Raw genomic sequence first — 19,186 nt, forward strand, 5'->3', positions numbered from 1 at the left:
CCACTCCTGAGTCACTGAACCAGCTCTCAGCCCCTGATCTGTCTGGCTCAAGGCCATGCCCCTTCACCACTGCATTGACTGGGAAGCCTAAAGGAATGCCGGGGCAGTTCCATAGCGCCATAGGAGGTGGACTGAGGTTTTCAGTGGTGGTTCTTTTCCTGACACAACTGCACAGATTATGCCAAGGCTGGCGCCTCACCACTTGTTGCCATTGTCTTCGTAGGGCATTCTGGGCCAATTGGAGAGTGATCACTTCTCCATTCTTTGAACCACTGCCATGGAAGTTTTGGGGATCATCTGTGTCATGATTCAACTGGAGCAGCTCTGGGCAGTGAAGTCTTCATACATGGTTACTGCCCAGGAACCTTTAAAACTCGGCTTGGTTTTGCTTCTAACTCATGGGGGACTTCAGTAGCTTCTGAGTGCAGCTGAACACTTGCCTCTTGATTTCCCCTGTGAGCTGGTGCCTGCCCACCTCCATCCTCAACCACCTGCATCCTCATCTCCCATTTGCTTTAGTCACACAGGCCTGCTTCTGTTCTTTGAACACACTCAGTGGTCTCCCAGTTCAGAGCCTTTGTGGCTTTTTTCCCTCTTTCTACAATGATCTTTCCCCAGATAGTTGTATTTTTTTTGAATTACAAGGCAGATGGTGAGAACAAGCCACAGCTCCTTACGGAGGCCTCTGCTGGCCACTCTAGCTAGAGTAGCCGCCCTGCCCTACTCTGTCACCCCTGCAGCATCAACCTCATTATCATTGTTGCACACTCCACAATCCGATGCTTTCTTACTGTGTTTGTTTACTTGCTTATTGTCTCTGATACCCCCTCTCCCCACTAGGACAGGCACGTGTCCTCACTAGGACAGGCACGTGTCTTCATTGTGTGTAGGTCAACATGGAACTTTCTCCTACTGCTTGCTTTGGTAAGAATGATGGGTTATCGGGAGGCTGAGGCACAACAATCGCATGAACCTGGGAGGTGGAGGTTGCAGTGAGCCGAGATCGCACCACTTGAGCAACAGAGCAAGACTGTCTTGAAAAAAAAAAAAAGAAAGAAACAACAATGGGTTAGTGAGAAACAAAACAAAAATTAACAGTCACCACCAAAAACCTAGTGATGCACAGGATGAAAATTAGAAGACGCTTCCTTGGATATTAGAAATTTTAAATCTGCTTATAAATGGGTTCCTTCTTTAAAAGCTCAGGAATGGTGGACCTAGGTAGGCACACCTGAGTTGGTTTTACCTGCAATACTAGGAACAAATTGTGAGCTGCAGATACCAAAGCTATGACACCACTTACCAGAACTGCAAGGGGAGGCTTTAGAAGCCTAGATCTTTCTTCTTCCCATGTTATAAAATCAGGACCATGGATCTGAATGTTGTGGATCTTGGGAAATTTATAATTAGATCCCATGTAGGGCTTTATGATAATTTTTTTTGAAAAAGCAAAACAAAAATTCTCTACCTGGATAAAGGTATCCCCCTTATCAAAGATTTGGTGCTCCCAAGAACTGTTGAAGGAGAGCTGTAAGTAGTTTCTCCCTGTTGTGCTTCCTATAACGTCCTCGGTCCCCACTGAGGGACAACTGGTGTGAGAACAGCCCCATATACTGTGCATGGATAAAGACAGCATCCTCGGTGTCAGGACTCTGGGCTCCTTGTCTGTCTCCCCTGTCACTTTTCAGCTACTGCAGGAGAGTGGGAATGTGGAGTCCACTTCATGTTTAATAATTTATCTGATGATTTTTACTCAAGTCTCTAAATGCTGTGGCGCTAAACCTTAAAAGCCTATTATTTTTCTCCTGAAAGCCACAGGCAGCAATTGCTGGCCAAAATAAATAATGCATTCAATTACTGAGAATGAGAAGGCTAAATATAAATTAAATGAAGCTCATGGAAATGCGCTGCTTTTGTTTGCCTCCCTAAACATCCTCCCCTTGCAGCTGGTTATAAAATGTCCCCGTCCCTCCAGTTCATTTTGTTGCCTCCCTTAATCCGGCCTTGGTTGTATCTTCTTTGGCAGGCTGTGGCTTTCCCAAGGCTGGGTCCATCCCGACAAGTAAACTCCTGTTGAACCCTCAGGCAGGCTGGCGCAGGATGCTGATGAGGGCTTGTTGCAGGGGAGGCCTGGTTCTGTTCCTTTGTACACACCGGTGCTGTGCATAGACTGGATTGTGCAGGGATTTGGCACGCATGCTTGTGCCCACCACCCCAGAGTATTTAGGAGAAATGAAGGACTTGCAAGCTAGAGATTTGGTCGATCAGATGCTTCTTAACTGGAGATGGCCTAGCAATGTCTCTCTTTTCTTTCAGTCCCTTCTCTAGGTAACTTCTTGCCCTTGTTTGTCAATGGCTCTTTCTAGAAAATTATTTCCAGGCCACAGCAAGAGCAGGTTCTTTTCTCCTTTATTTTTACCTTTGTTTCTTTATCTTTACAGTTTATAATCTAGAAAAGGTACGTGTTTTACGGGCTAGGCGTGGTGGCTTATGCCCATAATCCCAGCACTTTGGGAGGTTGAGGTGGGCGGATCACCTGAGGTCAGGAGTTCAAGACCAGCCTGGCCAACATGGTGAAACCCCGTCTCTACTAAAAATTAAAAAAATTAGGCAGTTGTGGTGGTGTACTCCTGTAATTCCAGCTATTCAGGAGGCTGAGGCACGAGAATCGCTTGAACCCAGGAGGCAGAGGTTACAGTGAGTCAAGATATCACCACTGCACTCCAGCCTGGGCAACAAAGCGAGACTCTGTCTCAAAAAAAAAAAAAAAAAAGAAAGAAAAAAGAAAATGGGGGCATTTTACAATGGAAGTATGTTTAAGGTGGGTCTTAAAAGAAGAACATGTGTTTATGAGAACATGGGAAGGGAAGAAGGAAGGATTAGCATTCCTGGTTGAGTAAATGGCCTGAGCAAAGGCATGGAGATGTGGAATTACATGATGTATTTGGCCAACAGCAGAATGTTGGGATGAGGCCCTAATTAGTACTGACTTTCAAGTCTTCTGCTTGCATTGGTCCCAGTCCTGACTCTGCCACCTACAAGCCAGGTGCTCTTGGATGACTCGGCCTTTCTGTCCTGTTTCCCCATCTGTAAAGTGGAGACGATGACAGTGGTACCTATCTGTTGAGTGTTAAATGAGAAAATGGCCTTAGAGCACTTGGCCCACCGGCACATAGTAGCTGCTTAGTAAGTATTATCTTAGTATAAACATCTCTCAAATGATGAAAGTATGCCATGGGTTTTAGGAGCTAACTGTATACAGTACGTTGAGAGCTGTTTGATTTTATAGTTAGAAAGCCAGATTATTTTTCATATGCAAAGCATTGGGGAAGCTGTAGGAAACTTAATCTTTGTTTTGAGACAAACTGATGAATTATGCTAAAAAGACTTGCGGTTCCTCCAAAGCTGAAACAAGATAGAACAATTAAAGAGAGATAGTGGTCAAAAGAACTTGTTTTTTTTTTTTTTTTTTTTTGAGGCAGAGTCCTGCTCCGTCGTCCAGGCTGGACTGCAGTGGCGTGATCTCTGCTCGCTGCAACCTCCGTCTCCCAAGTTCAAGTGATTTTCCTGCTTCAGCCTCCCAAATAGCTGGGACTACAGGCGTGCACCACCACACCGGGCTAATTTTTGTATTTTTTAGTAGAAATGGGGTTTTACCATGTTGGCCAGGCTGGTCTCAAACTCCTGAACTCTGGTGATCCACCTGCCTCAGCCTCCCAAAGTGCTAGGATTACAGGCATGAGCCACCGTGCCCAACCAAGAATGATTTTATTATCATTAATAATCATGCTTTTCCCACCTTCTGTAGGGATCTCCCCTGTTCTTTTAGAACTTACTTTCTTTTATTTTTTGCATCTTCATCCTTCAGAGCTGGGTTCATATGTCATGTCTTTAGAAAAACCATCCTTGGCCTTCCCATTTCTGCAGATAAACAGAAAGTTAGGTCAGGTCATCCTGTACGATATATTATCCGCTCACCTGTGCTTTTTCTCCATTATGCTTATCACTGTTATTTAACAAGTAAATATGTAAGTAGTTGTCTGCTTTTCCCCCTGTAAGCGCATCACCTCCATGAGGTCCTGTCTGTCTGGTTTACTCAAAAAGTTTGAGATTTTGGAGCACTTTGGATTTCAGATGAGGAATGTTCAACCTGTATATGGAGCCCCTGGCTACCACAAACTGTAATGGCTAATGGAAATAGCCAGGGCCATGATGTGGGAGAGAAAAATTATTTTGCATTTCCTCTTCCTGGAGAGTCAAGAATGGCTTGTGAAGGAGAAAAATAGTTTTCACACATTTACCAGGTCTTGGCGATTTATGTTTAAGTTCCTATTTAGTTTAGTTAACAGAACATCCTTTGAAGAGTGTTTGATTTGATTGTTTTCTCCAACCCTGAGGCCTCTTTGGTGAATGCAGACAAAGTAGGTTATTTTAGTTGGAACAGTTCACAGCAGGGCAGATGGCATCAAGCTTGTCGCCCACGTTCACATCTGTCCACACATGATCCATCCATCTTAGGGAGTGTCAAGGCCTGGGAAGGATGGCAGCTGCTCATGGAACCCACAGAAAAAGGGCACGGGCAAGTCTCCTCCTGACAATCCCTCAGACCCTTATAATAGTTAAATTATAACCTGCAGTTTCTTCCTCCTGTCAGTATTTTCTGGTCATCTTTTACATGCGGCCCACTGTGCCAAGCATTGTATGGGCAACAGGAATGCACTTAAAGAGACTACAGGCTGGGCTGGGCGCGGTGGCTCAGACCTGTAATCCCAGCACTTTGGGAGGCCGAAGTGGATGGATCATTTGAGGTCAAGAGTTCAAGACCAGCCTGGCCAACATGATGAAACCTCGTCTCTACTAAAAATACAAAAATTAGCCGGCAGTAGTGGTGTGTGCCTGTAATCCCAGCTACTTGGGAGGCTGAGGCAGGAGAATCGCTTGAGCCTGGAGGGCAGAGGTTGCAGTGAGCCAAGATCGCACCACTGTCTCCAGCCTGGGCAACAGGGTGAGACCGTGTCTCAAAACAAAACAAGAAAAAGAGACGACAGGCCATTCAGGGAGAGCAAATCTGTTTACAATTATTACACTAGGCGACACATGATAAAGCTCATGCACTATGGACATAAAATGTGCTTGGGAATTTTAGAGCAGAGAGAATTAACCCTTGACTTGAAAGAGGAAAAAAAAAAAGAGGTGGCATTGAAGAGCCTGGAAGGTCAGGGAATATCTTGTTATTATACTGAAGTAAGGTGTATGGCATTCTAGGTTGAGGCCTGGAGGCTGAGAAAACAGTACGTCTGGAAGGAATGAGGAGGAGATCAAGTTAAGGTGATAGTTGAGGGCCTAATTGTTGAGAGGTCTGAACTCCTGGCAAAATAGTTTTATTCAGTACGTATTATTAGGTAGGTGGTTTATCTTTATTTTGCAGCTGGAGAAACTGAGGCTCAGGCGTGCTCAGGAACATCCAGCTAATGAGTGGCCTTATCTGGATTTAACCACTGTGCCTCTCTATATTAGGTTAGTTCTTCTATATCATAACATAGGGTTGTATTTCTAATCCCAAGTGCACGTGGTTGCTGGAGGTCAATTATTACGGATTGAGCATTAGATAAACTAGGAAACAAAGAACCAAAATTAAGATAAGGAATACCTAATCCTTTCTGCTTAGGGAAATCTAAGCCTACTTTTCACAGAGACAATACGCAACCTCAAATGAGCTACTGCATGGATGAGAGAAAGGTATGTCATCCTGTAGTATCTCCGAGGTAGGAGTTAGGTAACACATGGGCTGAGCATGCTTGGCTCAGTGAGAGAGCCCTTGACAGTTCAGAGAGTAGAGGGAGGGAGAGAGTGCAGGAGCCTTCTGATGGTACTACCGAAGCTAAGAAGTAATTTATATGTCCCAAGTGGATTTTTCACATTAAGTGTTGATATTCAGAATGAACTTAAAAGGCATTCTGCATAAACCAGGTGGCAAAATCAAAGTTAGATTAAGCCATCATTGATAGCAATTAAGCATTAATGTATAAGGTATTTAATTGTTCCTGGAGATTCATATTTCTTTACATCTTGCTTTATGTACATATCAAAATAGTGGCCCCTAAGTCCTCAAACTTAGCTGTTGGAATAACAAGTTCTATTACAAAAACACAGGCTAGTAATAGATAGTGGTAAATCTCTATCAGTGACTTGCCTGTGGATAACTTGGCCACTGAGACCACAAGGCTTTGCCAAAGGCACCCCATCACTTGGTGGCAGCACATCTTCATTGCAGGCAAAGTTTTCAGGAAGAAGATATGTCTGGATGTTGCATTTTATGTGGTAGTTTCCATGATATTGATATTGTCAATCCAAACCTAAACTCATACGGAGATAGAAAATGTTGAAGATGGGTAAAGATGTTTTGCAATGGGGTTTGTATACCTTGAGAGAGAGTGATGATTTTTATAGCCAGAACCCTGCTTTACTAATACACATTCAAGAGATGGGAGTCTTCAACCCTTGGAACATCTTGTCTTAAGAACTTACGATTTTTGGCCGGGCACGGTGGCTCACGCCTGTAATCCCAGCACTTTGGGAGGCCGAGACGGTGGATCACTAGAGGCTAGGAGTTCGAGACCAGCCCGGCCAACATGACAAAACCCTGTCTCTACTAAAAATACAAAAATTAGCCGGGCGTGGTGGTGTGCGCCTGTAGTCCCAGCTACTCGGGAGGCTAACAAGGCACGAGAATTGTTTGAACCTGGGAGGTGGAGGTTGCAGTGAGCCATGATTGCACCACTGCACTCCAGCCTGGGCAACAGAGTGTGACCCTGTCTCAAAAAAAAAAAAAATAAAGAAGAAATAATGGTTTTTCTATTCTTCGATCTTCCTGGGCTAGGACAGCTGTCAGTCTGAGTTTCCTGAGTTACCTAGGAGGGTAGTTGGATTGATGGATTGATGGATTGAAGATCTAGGAGTGAAATGAATTAACTTTGAGGTTTTGTTCAGCCTCAGGAGTTTATGACTGACGAGTGGTAAAGATTTCCATTAGCACTGACCTAATGCATTATTGAAAAAAAGCAAAATGCCAATTTTGAAGGTGGGATGGGTTATCACTTCTTGACTGTCACTTATGATTCATGTATTGACTCATTTTCCATATCACCAATGCCAACCATACAAAAGGTTGCATTTACTCTTGTAGGTCCTAGTTAAGTCTGAATTCCTTTTATCATGTATTGAGGGTGTTTGGTGAGATTGTCCTGTATCCAGTTGAAAATCTAGGCAATCTGTATTTTAAATCTTAATGACTTTCACTATAAAAATTCAGAATGCTCATTTGAAAAACTTCCAACCATACAGAAATGTAGGACTCTTAAAAAGTAAAAAGCCCTGAGATAAAAGTCTCCAATAATATGCTGTATCTCCCCACCCCACCCCCAAATCTGCTGTTGTTAACAGTATGGACATCTTGATTTTTTTCTTTTATATATCCATTTTAAAATATTCATTATTCTTGTATGCTCTCTGCCTCTCTATTCTCCTTTCTCCTTCACTCTCCATTTATCTATATTCTTATATATATATATATATATGTAGTTCTCTTTCCCCCTTAGCAATAAATGGAATTATGTCTTCTACAGTGTTTTTCATAAGCCTTTTTTGGCTTCTCTGTAAATCTTGGTGTCAATCAGTACCCTCTTTGTAATGGCTGTTTGGTATTCTGTTTCTTCTTTTTTTTTGGAAGTGCTACAAATTATTTCTTCAAATGGCCCCCCTCTATTTTTTTTCCTCCGAACTCCTGTTGAAAAATATATGAACTCTTTGCAAGTTTTTGCTCTGGCAGACAATAAATAACCTGCATCTTAATTCTGAGCACTTTGAAGCTTTCTGACAGTTGCCCAATTGGTATTTTAGCCTCTTAGAATGTGGAACTCTATTGTTCAGACAGAGGCGTATTGAAAGCCTTGGTACACACAACAGATGCCAGTGGGGCTCCTCAGGTGGACATCCCAGTGGGAGGTTACTGCCCCTGAATTATCTACAGGAGCTCGAAGAGGCCCCAGAGCACGATATGGAGCTTTTTAAAGCCTTGAGAAGAAGAACCCTTGCAAGTGGACTGACTGGGGAGCTTCAAGCCTGAAGTCTGACTCATTTCATGGAGAAGCTAATTAGAGAGGACCCTTCCCGCCATCCTCACGGTGCAGTGCAGAACAGCATCCCTGGTTGGTCCCCACAGTGTGTGTATCACCCCTCAGCTTGGTGCTGTGCCTTACACATACAGGGAACTGGGGTGGCTGCCCCTTAGAACAGCAGGAGTATTAAGAGTCCATGCAGTGTGTGGCCCTGTCCCTACTTCCATCTCCACCTTGTCCTACTCTGGTTAAATAGGGAGTACATTGTTTTGCCATATTTCTGTTTTATACATTTCTAGGACTGAACATTTTACAGCAAACTTGTATTGCCTTTGTATGTTCAAGAAAAATTATTTTTAGAAATTTAAGCCTGGGCAACATAGTGAGACCCAGTCTGTACAAAATATGAATTAAAAAAAACTTAAAAAATCAGCAGGCATGATGGCGCACGCCTGTAGTCCCAGCCACTTGGCAGGCTGAAGTGGGAGGGTTGCTCGAGCCCAGGAGGTCGAGGCAGGAGTGAGCTATGACGGTACCACTGCAATCCAGCCTGGGCAGCAGAGCAAGGCCCTGTCTCAAAAAATAATAATAAAAATAGGCCAGGCACGGTGGCTCATGCCTGTAATCCTAGCACTTTGGGAGGCAGAGGCAGGCAGATCACCTGAGGTCAGGGGTTCGAGACCTGCCTGGCCAACATGGTGAAATGCCATCTCTACTAAAAAAAAAAATACAAAAATTAGCCAGGTATGCCAGATCTGACCTGCAGACCCTGACCCAGTGACGGATAAAAGACTGACACGGATATTTTGCCTGTCAGCATGGCTAAGAGGCTCTGCTGCCTGACTACAGCATTGGCCTCCATAAGCCGGCAAAGTTCGCATTTATTTAGTACAGATTAAATGACAAAGGTCTCGAGTAAACACCACTAGAAGGTAATTAACATTGCCGACCTCCTGAGTAGAGAGCAGTCATACACCCACAGATGATCAAAGGTCGGTCTTAGGACCACATGAGTAAACAAGCTATTTAGATAAAACCCCCCACATTCACTTACTATTTGCTCTTTTGCTATCAACTCAAGGTAAAGAGGATTAGGCTGCCTTCAGCCATAACCCTTTCCTAAAGCTTTTGTAAAACCTTCCGGCCTTCCAAGAAAGCTTGCGTTTTTCCTATAATTTTCTCTTACAATTTCTGACATCACCCTAACCGAGCTCCTACAGGGGCATGGTAGCAGACGCCTATAATCCCAGCTACTTGAGAGGGTGAGGCAGGTGAATTGCTTGAACCCAGGAGGCAGAGGTTGCAGTGAGCTGAAATTGTACCACTGCACTTCAACCTGGGTGACAGAGCAAGACTCTGCCTCAAAAAAAAAATAATAATAATTATAATGATAATAATAATAGGCCGGGCACAGTGGCTCATGGCTATAATCCCAGCACTTTGGGAGGCAGAGGCGGGCAGATCACCTGAGTTCAGGAGTTCGAGATCAGCCTGACCAACATGGAGAAGCCCCGTCTCTACTAAATATACAAAAAATTAGCTGGGCATGGTGGCTCATGCCTATAATCCCAGCTACTCTGGAGGCTGAGGCAGGAGAATCACTTGAACCCAGGAGGTGGAGGTTGTGTTGAGCCAAGATCATGCCATTGCACTGGGCAACAAGAGCAAAGTCTCAATAATAATAAATTTCAATTAAAATTCCAAGACAGTAGCCTATCAGTAAGTGAAAAAATTGGTGTCCATCCTCATCCACCACTCCAATATTACACCTAATAGTTTGGCATTTATCTTGCCTGACCTTTCTATGCATCTACATAAGTTTATATACTTTTTTTCCTTTGCAAAGATAGGCTCACACGTATACAGCTGTGTGACTTTTTGTCCTTTTTTTTTCTTTTTTTCCCCCGCCACCCTCCCCCCCGATTTTTTGTATGTAATATGTCATAGATGTCTTTATACCTCAAATATACCTCAAAACATATAGATCTGCCTTATGCTCTTTATTAGCTATATTACTTGCTTGGTGCAACAGTGCAGTAATTTCTTTTTTTTTTTTTTTTTTTTTTTTTTTTACATTTTGGAACTTTAAGCTGTTTTCACTTTTTCTTCAAATGATCTTAGAGTTGATATAAAGATATCTTCATCCAACAGGAATGATTGACCCAATCATTTATAGTAGCTAGGCAGCATGAATAATCAAAACATACAGTTTACCTAGCATCTTCAGCTAAGCCCTTATTTTCAGCTTCTGTCTGCATCTCACCCTTTCCCGCAGCTATTTGCTTGTGACATATATTTTGGAGTCCATCTGTGGGGTTTTAATGGCTTTGTGTTCTGAGTGTTTGATTTCTTCCTGTCCTTGCGGAAGTTTCCCGAATACCGTGTTCTTTCAGTGGTCCACAGACCTTTTGAAACTACTCAGGTTGAGAACAGGAGAGCCTGAAACTTCAGATGGAAAATGTCAAATGTGATATTTTGCCAGTGAGCATCCCTGGCATTTACTCGTCATATATACAAAATAATGAGGTAGTCTGTCCCCATATTTTTAGCAAGGACCCCAACAATTCTTACAATAGAGCAGTCCAAGAGTACTACAGTGCTCTTACAAATATGGGGGCAGTGGCTATGTTTATGCAATTTTTCTTACTATGAATACGGGGACGGTGGCTGCGTTTCTGGAGTTTCTCTTACTACGAATATGGGGATGGTGGCTGTCTGTGTTTGCTCTCTGCCCAGCAGAGAGCAGTGCCGTGAGATGCGTCAATTGCTGTGTGGAAAGAACCATAGAATGCTGCTCAAAAAAGTGAAGTCCCTTTTTCAAGAAAAAGGGGTCTCAAATACAGTGACTGTAGTGTTGGGTCAGCAAGACCTGAGTGGGGTTTTTCTGGTTTGGGTTTTGCCTTTAAGATGGGATATGCAGTGATTGTTCTGAGATACTGGAAATATAAGCAGAAAAAAAAAAAAGGTATATGGAAAAGAAACATGGATGTCCCAGCAGGGAACGGTGGCTCACGCCTGTAATCCCAGCACTTTGGGAAGCCAAGGCAACCGGATCACCTGAGGCCAGGAGTTAAGACCAGCTTGCCCAACATGGTGAAACCCCATCTCTACTAAAAATACAAAAATTAGCCTGGCACGGTGGCATGTGCCTGTAGTCTTAGCTACTCGGGAGGCTGAGGCAGGAGAATCGCTTGAACCCGGGAGGCGGAGGCTGCAGTGAGCTGAGATCACATCACCGCATTCCAGCCTGGGCAACAGAGCAAGAGTTCATCTAAAAAAAAAAAAAAACAAAAAAACATGAATGTCCCATGAACCCCAGAGGACTTGGATGAAGGAAGCCTAGTCCGTGTACTTGCTGCTTTTCCCCTTCCTCTAGTGGAACCAGGACAATATATATTTTTTCCTTTTCTAAAAAAATTTTTGTGGGTACTTAGTAAGTGTATATATTTACAAGGTACATGAGATGTTTTGATTCAGGCAGGCAGTGTATAATAATTACATCCTAGAGAATGGTGTATCCATCCCCTCAAGCATTTATCCTGTGTGCTACAAACAATTCAGTTATATTCTTTCAGTTATTTTTAAATGTACAATTAAATTATTGACTAGAGTCACTGTGTTGTGCTATCAAATACTAGGTCTTATTCATTCTTTCTATTTTTATTTTGTACGCAGTAACCATTCCCACTCCCCACCATGCCCCACCATTACCCTTCCCAGCCTCTGGTAACTATCCTTCTACTCTCTGTCTCCATGGGTTCAATTGTTTTTGTTTTTAGCTCCCACAAATAAGTGAGAACATGCAAAGTTTGCCTTCCTGTGCCTGGCTTAATTCACTTAACATAATGCCCTCCAGTTTCACCCATGTTGTTGCAAATGACAGAATCTCCTTTTTTATGGCTGCATAGTACTCCATTGTGTATATGTACCACATTTTCTTTATCCGTTTGTCTGTTGACGGACACTTAGATTGCTTCCAAATCTTGGCTATTGTGAACAGTGCTAAAACAAACAGGAGTGCAGATATCTCTTCGATATACTGATTTCCTTTCTTTTGGGGGTAAATCCAGTGGTGGGATTGCTGGATCCTATGGTAGCTCTATTTTTAGCTTTTTCAGAAACCTCCGAATTGTTCTCCGTAGTAGTTGTACTAATTTAACATTTGCACCAGCAGTGTGTGAGGGTTCCCCTTTTCTCCACATTCTCACCAGCATTTGTCGTTGCCTGTCTTTTGGATAAAAGCCATTTTAACTGGGGTTCGATGATATCTCATTATAGTTTTCATTTGCATTTCTCTGATCAATGATGTTGAGCACCTTTTCATATGCTTGTTTGCCATTTGTATTTTTTTTTTTGAGAAACATCTATTGAAATCTTTTGCCCATTTTTAAAATCTGATTATTAGATTTTTTTTCCTATAGAGTTGTTTGAGCTCCTTATGTTCTGGTTATTAATCCTTTATCAGATGGGTAGTTTGCAAATATTTTCTCCCATTCTGTGGGTTCTCGTTTCACTTTGTTGATTGTTTCCTTTGCTGTGCGGAGCTTTTTAAGTTGATGTGATCCCATTTGTCCATTTTTGCTTTGGTTGCCTGTGCTTGTGGGGTATTACTCAAAGAGGGGACAATATTCTTTACTACTGGGAATCTGAGTTCTCCTTTTTCTGTAGGTCTTTAAAAAAAAATCCGTTATATCTTAAATGAGCTTCCATAGCTCTTAATAGCTACAAAACAAAGTGTTACATGAAGTTGACATGATTATTCTGAACTTTAAACTATAAGGATAAACTGCTGTCACATGGGGTAGGATTTGATTTCTAATTACTTAAGATAAGATTGAGAAGTCTCCAGACAATATTTTCTATATGGGGCAAGTCTTCTGAGGATAGAACTAAAAATCTGCTTTGGAACCCTGCATGCCCCAACCTTTAAATAACTGTTTATTTTAGCTCCGTCCTTTAGAGTGGAAACTGGGCGGGGTGGGTGAGAGGAGCCAAGTTCTGGGGACAAAGCTGCTCTCTTTTTAATGAGGCATAATAATAGGCACATTCTCTGGGCCAGTCAGTAACAAACACATAAATAGAAAAAAATGGTCTTTCAAGTTGCTCTGAGCAGAATTTGCATTCCCACTGAGAACCTTGTTTCATGATATACTTACTTCACTGTGGGACTGCCGGAGGACTAAGGAAATGAACTGCTTAAAGATAGGGCCTAGGAGATCCTGTGGGTTCCATAAGTAGGGCCATGTTTTTCTTTCTTTCTTTCTTTCTTTCTTTCTTTCTTTCTTTCTTTCTTTCTTTCTTTCTTTCTTCCTTTCTTCCTTTCTTCCTTTCTTCCTTTCTTCCTTTCTTCCTTTCTTTCTTTCTTTCTTTTTTTTTGAGACAGAGCATTGCTCTGTTGCCCAGGCTCGGCTCACTGCAACCTCTGACCGACGGGTTCAAGTGATTCTCCTGCCTCAGCCTCCCGAGTAGCTGGAATTACAGGCATGTGCCACCATGCCCAGCTAATTTTTGTATTTTTAGTACAGACAGGGTTTCACCATATTGGCCAGGCTGGTCTCAAACTCCTGACCTCAAGTGATCGACCCACTGGCCTCCCAAAGTGCTGAGATTACAGGCGTGAGCTACCGTACCTGGTTGGGCCATGTCTTACTAGTGGTCACAAGATAGAAGACCCTGCAGGCTCTGACCCTTTCTGGAAGGTTTCTCTATCAGAACGGACATCAGGTGGCTTTTCCTCAAGCCCCATATTTAATGTCTCTCCCCAAAACAATTGAGATAAGTGGATTCATAGACCAAAATACGTAACAGGCTTAGAAAATAAGTGTTGGCCCAATGCGGTGGCTCACGCCTGTAATCCCAGAACTTTAGGAGGCCGAGTCAGGCAGATCGCTTGAGCTCAGGAGTTTGGGACCAGCTTGGGCAACACGGTGAAACCCCATCTCTACAAAAAATACAAAAATTAGCCAGGGATGATGGTGCACTCCTGTAGTCCCAGTTACTGGGGAGGCTGAGGTAGGAGGATGGCTGGAGCCCAGGAGGCAGAGGCTGCAGTGAGTCGAGATCACACCGTTGCACTTCAGCCTGTGCGACAGAGCAAGACCCTGTCTGGAAAAAAAAAAAAAAAAACCAGAAAAAAAAATAGTTGTTAATTAGTATGATTATGTTGGTCTCATTGCCACAGTTTATGTTGTCAACGCTTTCTCTCACTTTTTTTTCATCTGTTTGTCTACCTGCCCATGACAGTACCCTGTTCACAGTTGGGGCTTAATAAATGTGGAAGGGGTTTGAGTTTGGGGTTCAGGAGACAGCCAGGCAAAGAAGCTTCCAGAGCAGAGCTAACTTGACTCAGAAAGCTTTACAAGGAGTGTCTTTCTGTGACATGTTTTTTTTCCCTCTCCTTTGAAGAAGGAAGAGATGGCAAAACTCCACCATCCATCTTCAGACACATACTCTTCTCATTAAACATAGGCCTTTCTTCCCAGGAAAGTGAGCATTTGCTGTTGCATTTGCCCCTCTGGTGTGCTGGCCGGTGTTCCTGTTTTAATTCAGGATGCTGTTCACCCCTACAGTGTTCTCTTTGCATCACTGGAAGTCGTTTTGGAGTGGAAGTCCATTTGGACCATGAAAACATTTGATCTTGTCGGGTAGTTTAAAATTTCATTTGTCAGGTCAGTGTTTTGATTGTTTTGACCTTGAGGCTTTTTCTCACGGTCAATACCTTGGCAGTTTTAGAAAGAACTTTCACTCCCTCTCCGTCTTCCCCTCCACCTCCCATCCTTCCTGCTCTCCCTCATCCCTTCCACCCCGTCTCCTGTTGTGCACACACATTCTCTCTCCACTCCTTTTCTTCCTCTCTTACTCCCTTTGAAGTCTTCTTGTTTTACAGATTTTTTCATAGCTCTTTAAATATCTTCATTTCCCAAACGATTCTATGGAGCTGATGTTAATCAGAAGCCTTTAAGCTGAGTGTGTGTGTGTGTGTGTGTGTGTGTGTGCTGTGTTCCTTCAGACATTTTGATGGCTATTTAACAAAAATGGTGTGCACTAGAATAGATTCAAACTGACCTGGGTTTGAGCTGCAGCTCTACTACCAACACTGGAACTTCATACACAGGACACTGTTGCAGGATGAATTGCTTCTCTTTCCTTCCCTTATTTCTCGTCTGTGAAGTACACGTGTTGACAGCACCTTCCTCGCACTGGTAGACATGAGAATTCAATGAACCAATCCAAGTTGAGCTTTAGCCCAGGCAACTGTCATTTCTAGACTTTTTACAAAAATTTGCGACCTGCTTTTTTCACTTAATAATCTAAAGACAATTTAACAGAGGTTCTCTGAGCTGAAGCAGTGCCCTGTCAAGCAAATATTCCTCCAGCTCCATCATGGTTTGCAGAAACCTTCTGCTAGGACCTGCCCTCGGCATGGCCTGGCTTCTACCTAACTCTCAGGACTGGCCTTCAGGCCACGTGAAGAAGAAAGCCAACTAAATTTCCCAGAGTTCTAATATACTGACTTTTATCTTCTGTCTTGCAGCTGATGCTTTTTTCAAAGCCGCTATAAGCCTTGTTCCGGAAGTTCCAAAGATGATTAATATTGATGGGAAGATGCGGCCATCGGAATCGTTCCTTCTGGAATTCCTCTGCAATTTCTTTTCTACTTTATTAATAGTTCCGGTACGTTTCCTCAGCAGAACCGCAGGACATGTCTTCCTTTCACCTGCCTTATAATATTATATGTGTTCTTAGGCCTAAAACTGCAGGAACATTCTATCTAGTATCTTTGTGTTGGTTTTCCAGTTAGGTATTTGAATTGCTTAATGAATTTTCTATTCTTGCTGGGTGGGGATCATACTATAATAGTAGAGGTGAGGTACTATGTCAGCTCAGGCTGCTATTACAAAGTGCCATAGACTGGGGTCTTAAACAACATTTATTTCTCAGAGTTCTTAAAGCTGGAAGTCTGAGATCAGGGTGCCAGTCTGGTTGAGTTCTAGTGAGGACCCACTTCCAGGTTGCAGACAACCATCTTCTCTCTCTTTCTGTCTCTCTTTTTTTTTTTTTTGAGATGGAGTTTCACTACTGTTGCCCAGGCTGTAGTGCAATGGCATGATCTTAGCTCACTTCAACCTCCACCCCCCAGGTTCAAGTGATTCTCCTGCCTCAGCCTCCTGAGTAGCTAGGATTACAGGCGCCCGCCACCACACCTGGCTAATTTTTGTATTTTTAGTAGAGATGGAGTTTCACCATGTTGTTCAGGCTGGTCTTGAACTCCTGACCTCAGGTGATCCACCTGCCTTGGCCTCCCAGAGTGCTGGGATTACAGGTGTGAGCCACCATGCCAGGCCTTTTTGTGTGTTTGTTTAGGAGTCTTGCTCTGTCACCCAGGCTGGAGTGCAGTGGTGCAGTTATAGCTCACTGTAGCCTTGAACTCCTAGGCTCAAGTGATTCTCCCGCCTCAGCCTCCTGAGCAGCTGGGACTGCAGGCCCATCTTCCCGTTATGTCCTCATGTGACAGAAAGAAAAAGCAAGGGCAAGCTCTCCGGCCTTTTGAGCAATTGGTCCTCTGGGACCTAATTACTACCCAAGGGCCCCACCTCCAAATCCCATCACATTGGGATTAGGGTCTCCGTGTATGAATTTGCAGGGGGATACAAATATTTAGTCCACTGCACTCTCTATACTGCCAAGGCAGAGGTGTCGCCCAGTGGGGAAGGGCACAGGCCTCGGAACCAAGATGTCCAGCATGGAATCCTGGCCCATCCTTCTTCCAGCTCTGCGTTCTTGGGCAATAATATAACATCCCTGGGCTGCAGTTTCCTTGTCTATAAAATGAGGATAAGAACTGTCACTTCTGGGTTGCCATGAATATTAAGTTAGTGAGTACTCACAATGTCAGAACCATGCCTCTGCACATAGTAAACTTTCTAGAAAGCACTAAGAAGGTGGCGACAAAGTTCTTTTGATGGCAAATAACAGAAACTAAACATAGCAGAAATTAAGAGGGGCATTGTTGGAAGGATGCTGGGTTTTTCCTGGGATGGAAGAGATGTACAGCCAGGCTTGAGTTGGAAAGAATGAGGCCACTCCCGGGACCCAGCAGGAGGAATTCCTGGACCCTCCCTAGCAAGGGTCCTTATAACTTGGAGTCCATCTACTCCCTGGGGGTCTGGCAGAGTGACATGAATTTGGATGAGGAAAATGACAGCTTTATTTTAACAAACCTCTGAGTGAAATTTACCTTTCACTCGATGAATTACAGGCAAAAAGCCACAGTAGTAGTAGCAGTAGCTGGGACTTTGTCACCAAAAGAAATCAACAGATATGTTCACATCACATTTCAGATGTGAAAGATATTTCAGAAGATTGTGTATGTTCTTCTTCCTTTCAAAGCACAGCAGTTATTAAGCCCATTGCTAGAGCTGTTAATGCATTCACAAAGAAGCAACAGATTACAGTATCACAGAAGCATTGAAAAAATATTTTGCCAGCTGTATTTTAGTGTAATTGGTTTGCTTTTTAGTCTTATGTGTTTTATTTGCTGCATTAAAAATAATATTCCAAGGACTGGGCACCGTGGCTCATGCCTGTATCCCAGCACTTTGGGAGGCGGAGGTGGACAGATCACCTGAGGTCAGGAGTTTGAGACCAGCCTGGCCAACATGGCACAACCCCGTATCTACTAAAAGTACAAAAATTAGCTGGGCATGGTGGTGGGCACCTGCAATCCCAGCTACTTGGGAGGCTGAGGCAGGAGAATCGCTTGAACCCAGGAGGCGGAGGTTGCAGTGAGCCGAGATTGCACCACCGCACTCCAGCCTGGACAACAGAGCAAGACTCCATCTCAAAAAAAAAAAAAAATGTATTCCAAGGGCCAGGCATGATGGCTCACTCCAGTAATCCCAACACTTTGGGAGGCTGAAGCAGGTGGGTCACCTGAGGTCAGGTGTTCGAGACCAGCCTGGCCAACATGGTAAAACCCCGTCTCTACTAAAAATACAAAAATTAGCCAGGAGTGGTGGCAGGCACCTGTAATCTCAGCTACCAGGGAGGCTGCGGCAGGAGAATCGCTTGAACCTGGGAGGTAGCGGTTGTAGTGAGCCAAGATTGTGCCACTGTACTCCAGCCTGGGCAACAGAGCAAGACTCCATCTCAAAAAAAATAAAAATAGTATTCCATGGAGTGTATAGGCTTCACCTGGCTGCCGCAGGGTGCATGGCACAGAACAGATTAAGCACCGCTGGTAGAGCTTAATGTGCATGGGAATCTCAGACTCTTGTTAAAATGCAGATTCCTGGGGCCCCTCCCAGAGTCTCACTCAGTAGGTTGAAATAGGCTCACAAATCAGCATTTTTAAAATCATCTAATTGTTTTATTTTGAGAAGGGGTCTTGCTGTATGCCTAGGCTGAGCTCCTGGGCTAAAGTGATCCTCCTGCCTCAGCCTCCCAAGTAGCTGGGCCAACAGGCATGTGCCAGCCACCACGCCTGGCTAATTTTTTTTTAATGTTTTATAGAGGTACATTCTCACTACATTTCCCAGGCTGGTCTTGAACTCCTGGCCTCAAGCAATCCTCCTCCCTCACCCTCCCCAGTACCTGGGATTACAGGTGGGATCAACCATGTTTGGCAAATGGGCATTTTTAAAAGCCCCCTTCAGTGATTCAGGGGTAAGTGGTCCTAGGACCATATTTGAGAAACATCACCCTGAACTTGAGCCATAAAAGTGCCTGAGCTCCAGTGGATCCAGGTTCCTTTTTGGGGTGATGATATGTTCCAAAATTGACTGTATTGATGATCGCACAACTCTGTGAATATCCTGACAATCACTGAATTGTACATTTTAGCAGGTATACTGTTTGGCATGTGAATTATATCTCAGTAAAGCTGAGAAAACAGAAAGTGACTCAGCTTCTGACTCTCCCTGTTCAGATTCCAAGTCTTCAGACAGAGGGGAGCGAGGTCAGGAGGCCAGGCTCAAGGACTGCAGACATGGCTTCAGGATGGGGGCCTCTTGTTGTCCTGCAGGGAGGATAGGCGGCACCCCAAGATGGGGCAGCGTGCACTGGCATTT

General features: G+C 43.7%; 1 protein-coding gene across 7 annotated transcripts in view, besides 1 other annotated feature; it reads left to right on the forward strand.

The window, feature by feature from the left end:
* The window catches only part of VPS35L (VPS35 endosomal protein sorting factor like), a 145,461-nt gene that overhangs the window by 97,806 nt on the left and 28,469 nt on the right, over window positions 1-19,186 (forward strand). For all 7 annotated transcript variants that reach the window (NR_158161.2, NR_158160.2, NM_001365295.2 and 4 more), the window contains one exon: window positions 15,652-15,791. Coding sequence is in view for 5 of the 7 variants with exons in the window: in NM_001365295.2 (NP_001352224.1) it covers window positions 15,652-15,791 (140 nt within the window). In the remaining 2 variants the exon portion in view is untranslated. The remainder of the gene's footprint in view (window positions 1-15,651; window positions 15,792-19,186) is intronic.
* Window positions 8,824-9,410: an enhancer, noted in NCBI's record as "NANOG hESC enhancer chr16:19673654-19674240 (GRCh37/hg19 assembly coordinates)". NCBI's record gives its function as "activates a minimal SCP1, AML or CMV promoter by ChIP-STARR-seq in primed H9 embryonic stem cells {active_cell/tissue: H9 hESC(primed)}" and the evidence as "EXISTENCE:reporter gene assay evidence [ECO:0000049][PMID:30033119]".

This window comes from Homo sapiens, chromosome 16 (assembly GCF_000001405.40).
Source record: "Homo sapiens chromosome 16, GRCh38.p14 Primary Assembly".
In the NCBI taxonomy this organism is placed as follows: domain Eukaryota; kingdom Metazoa; phylum Chordata; class Mammalia; order Primates; family Hominidae; genus Homo; species Homo sapiens.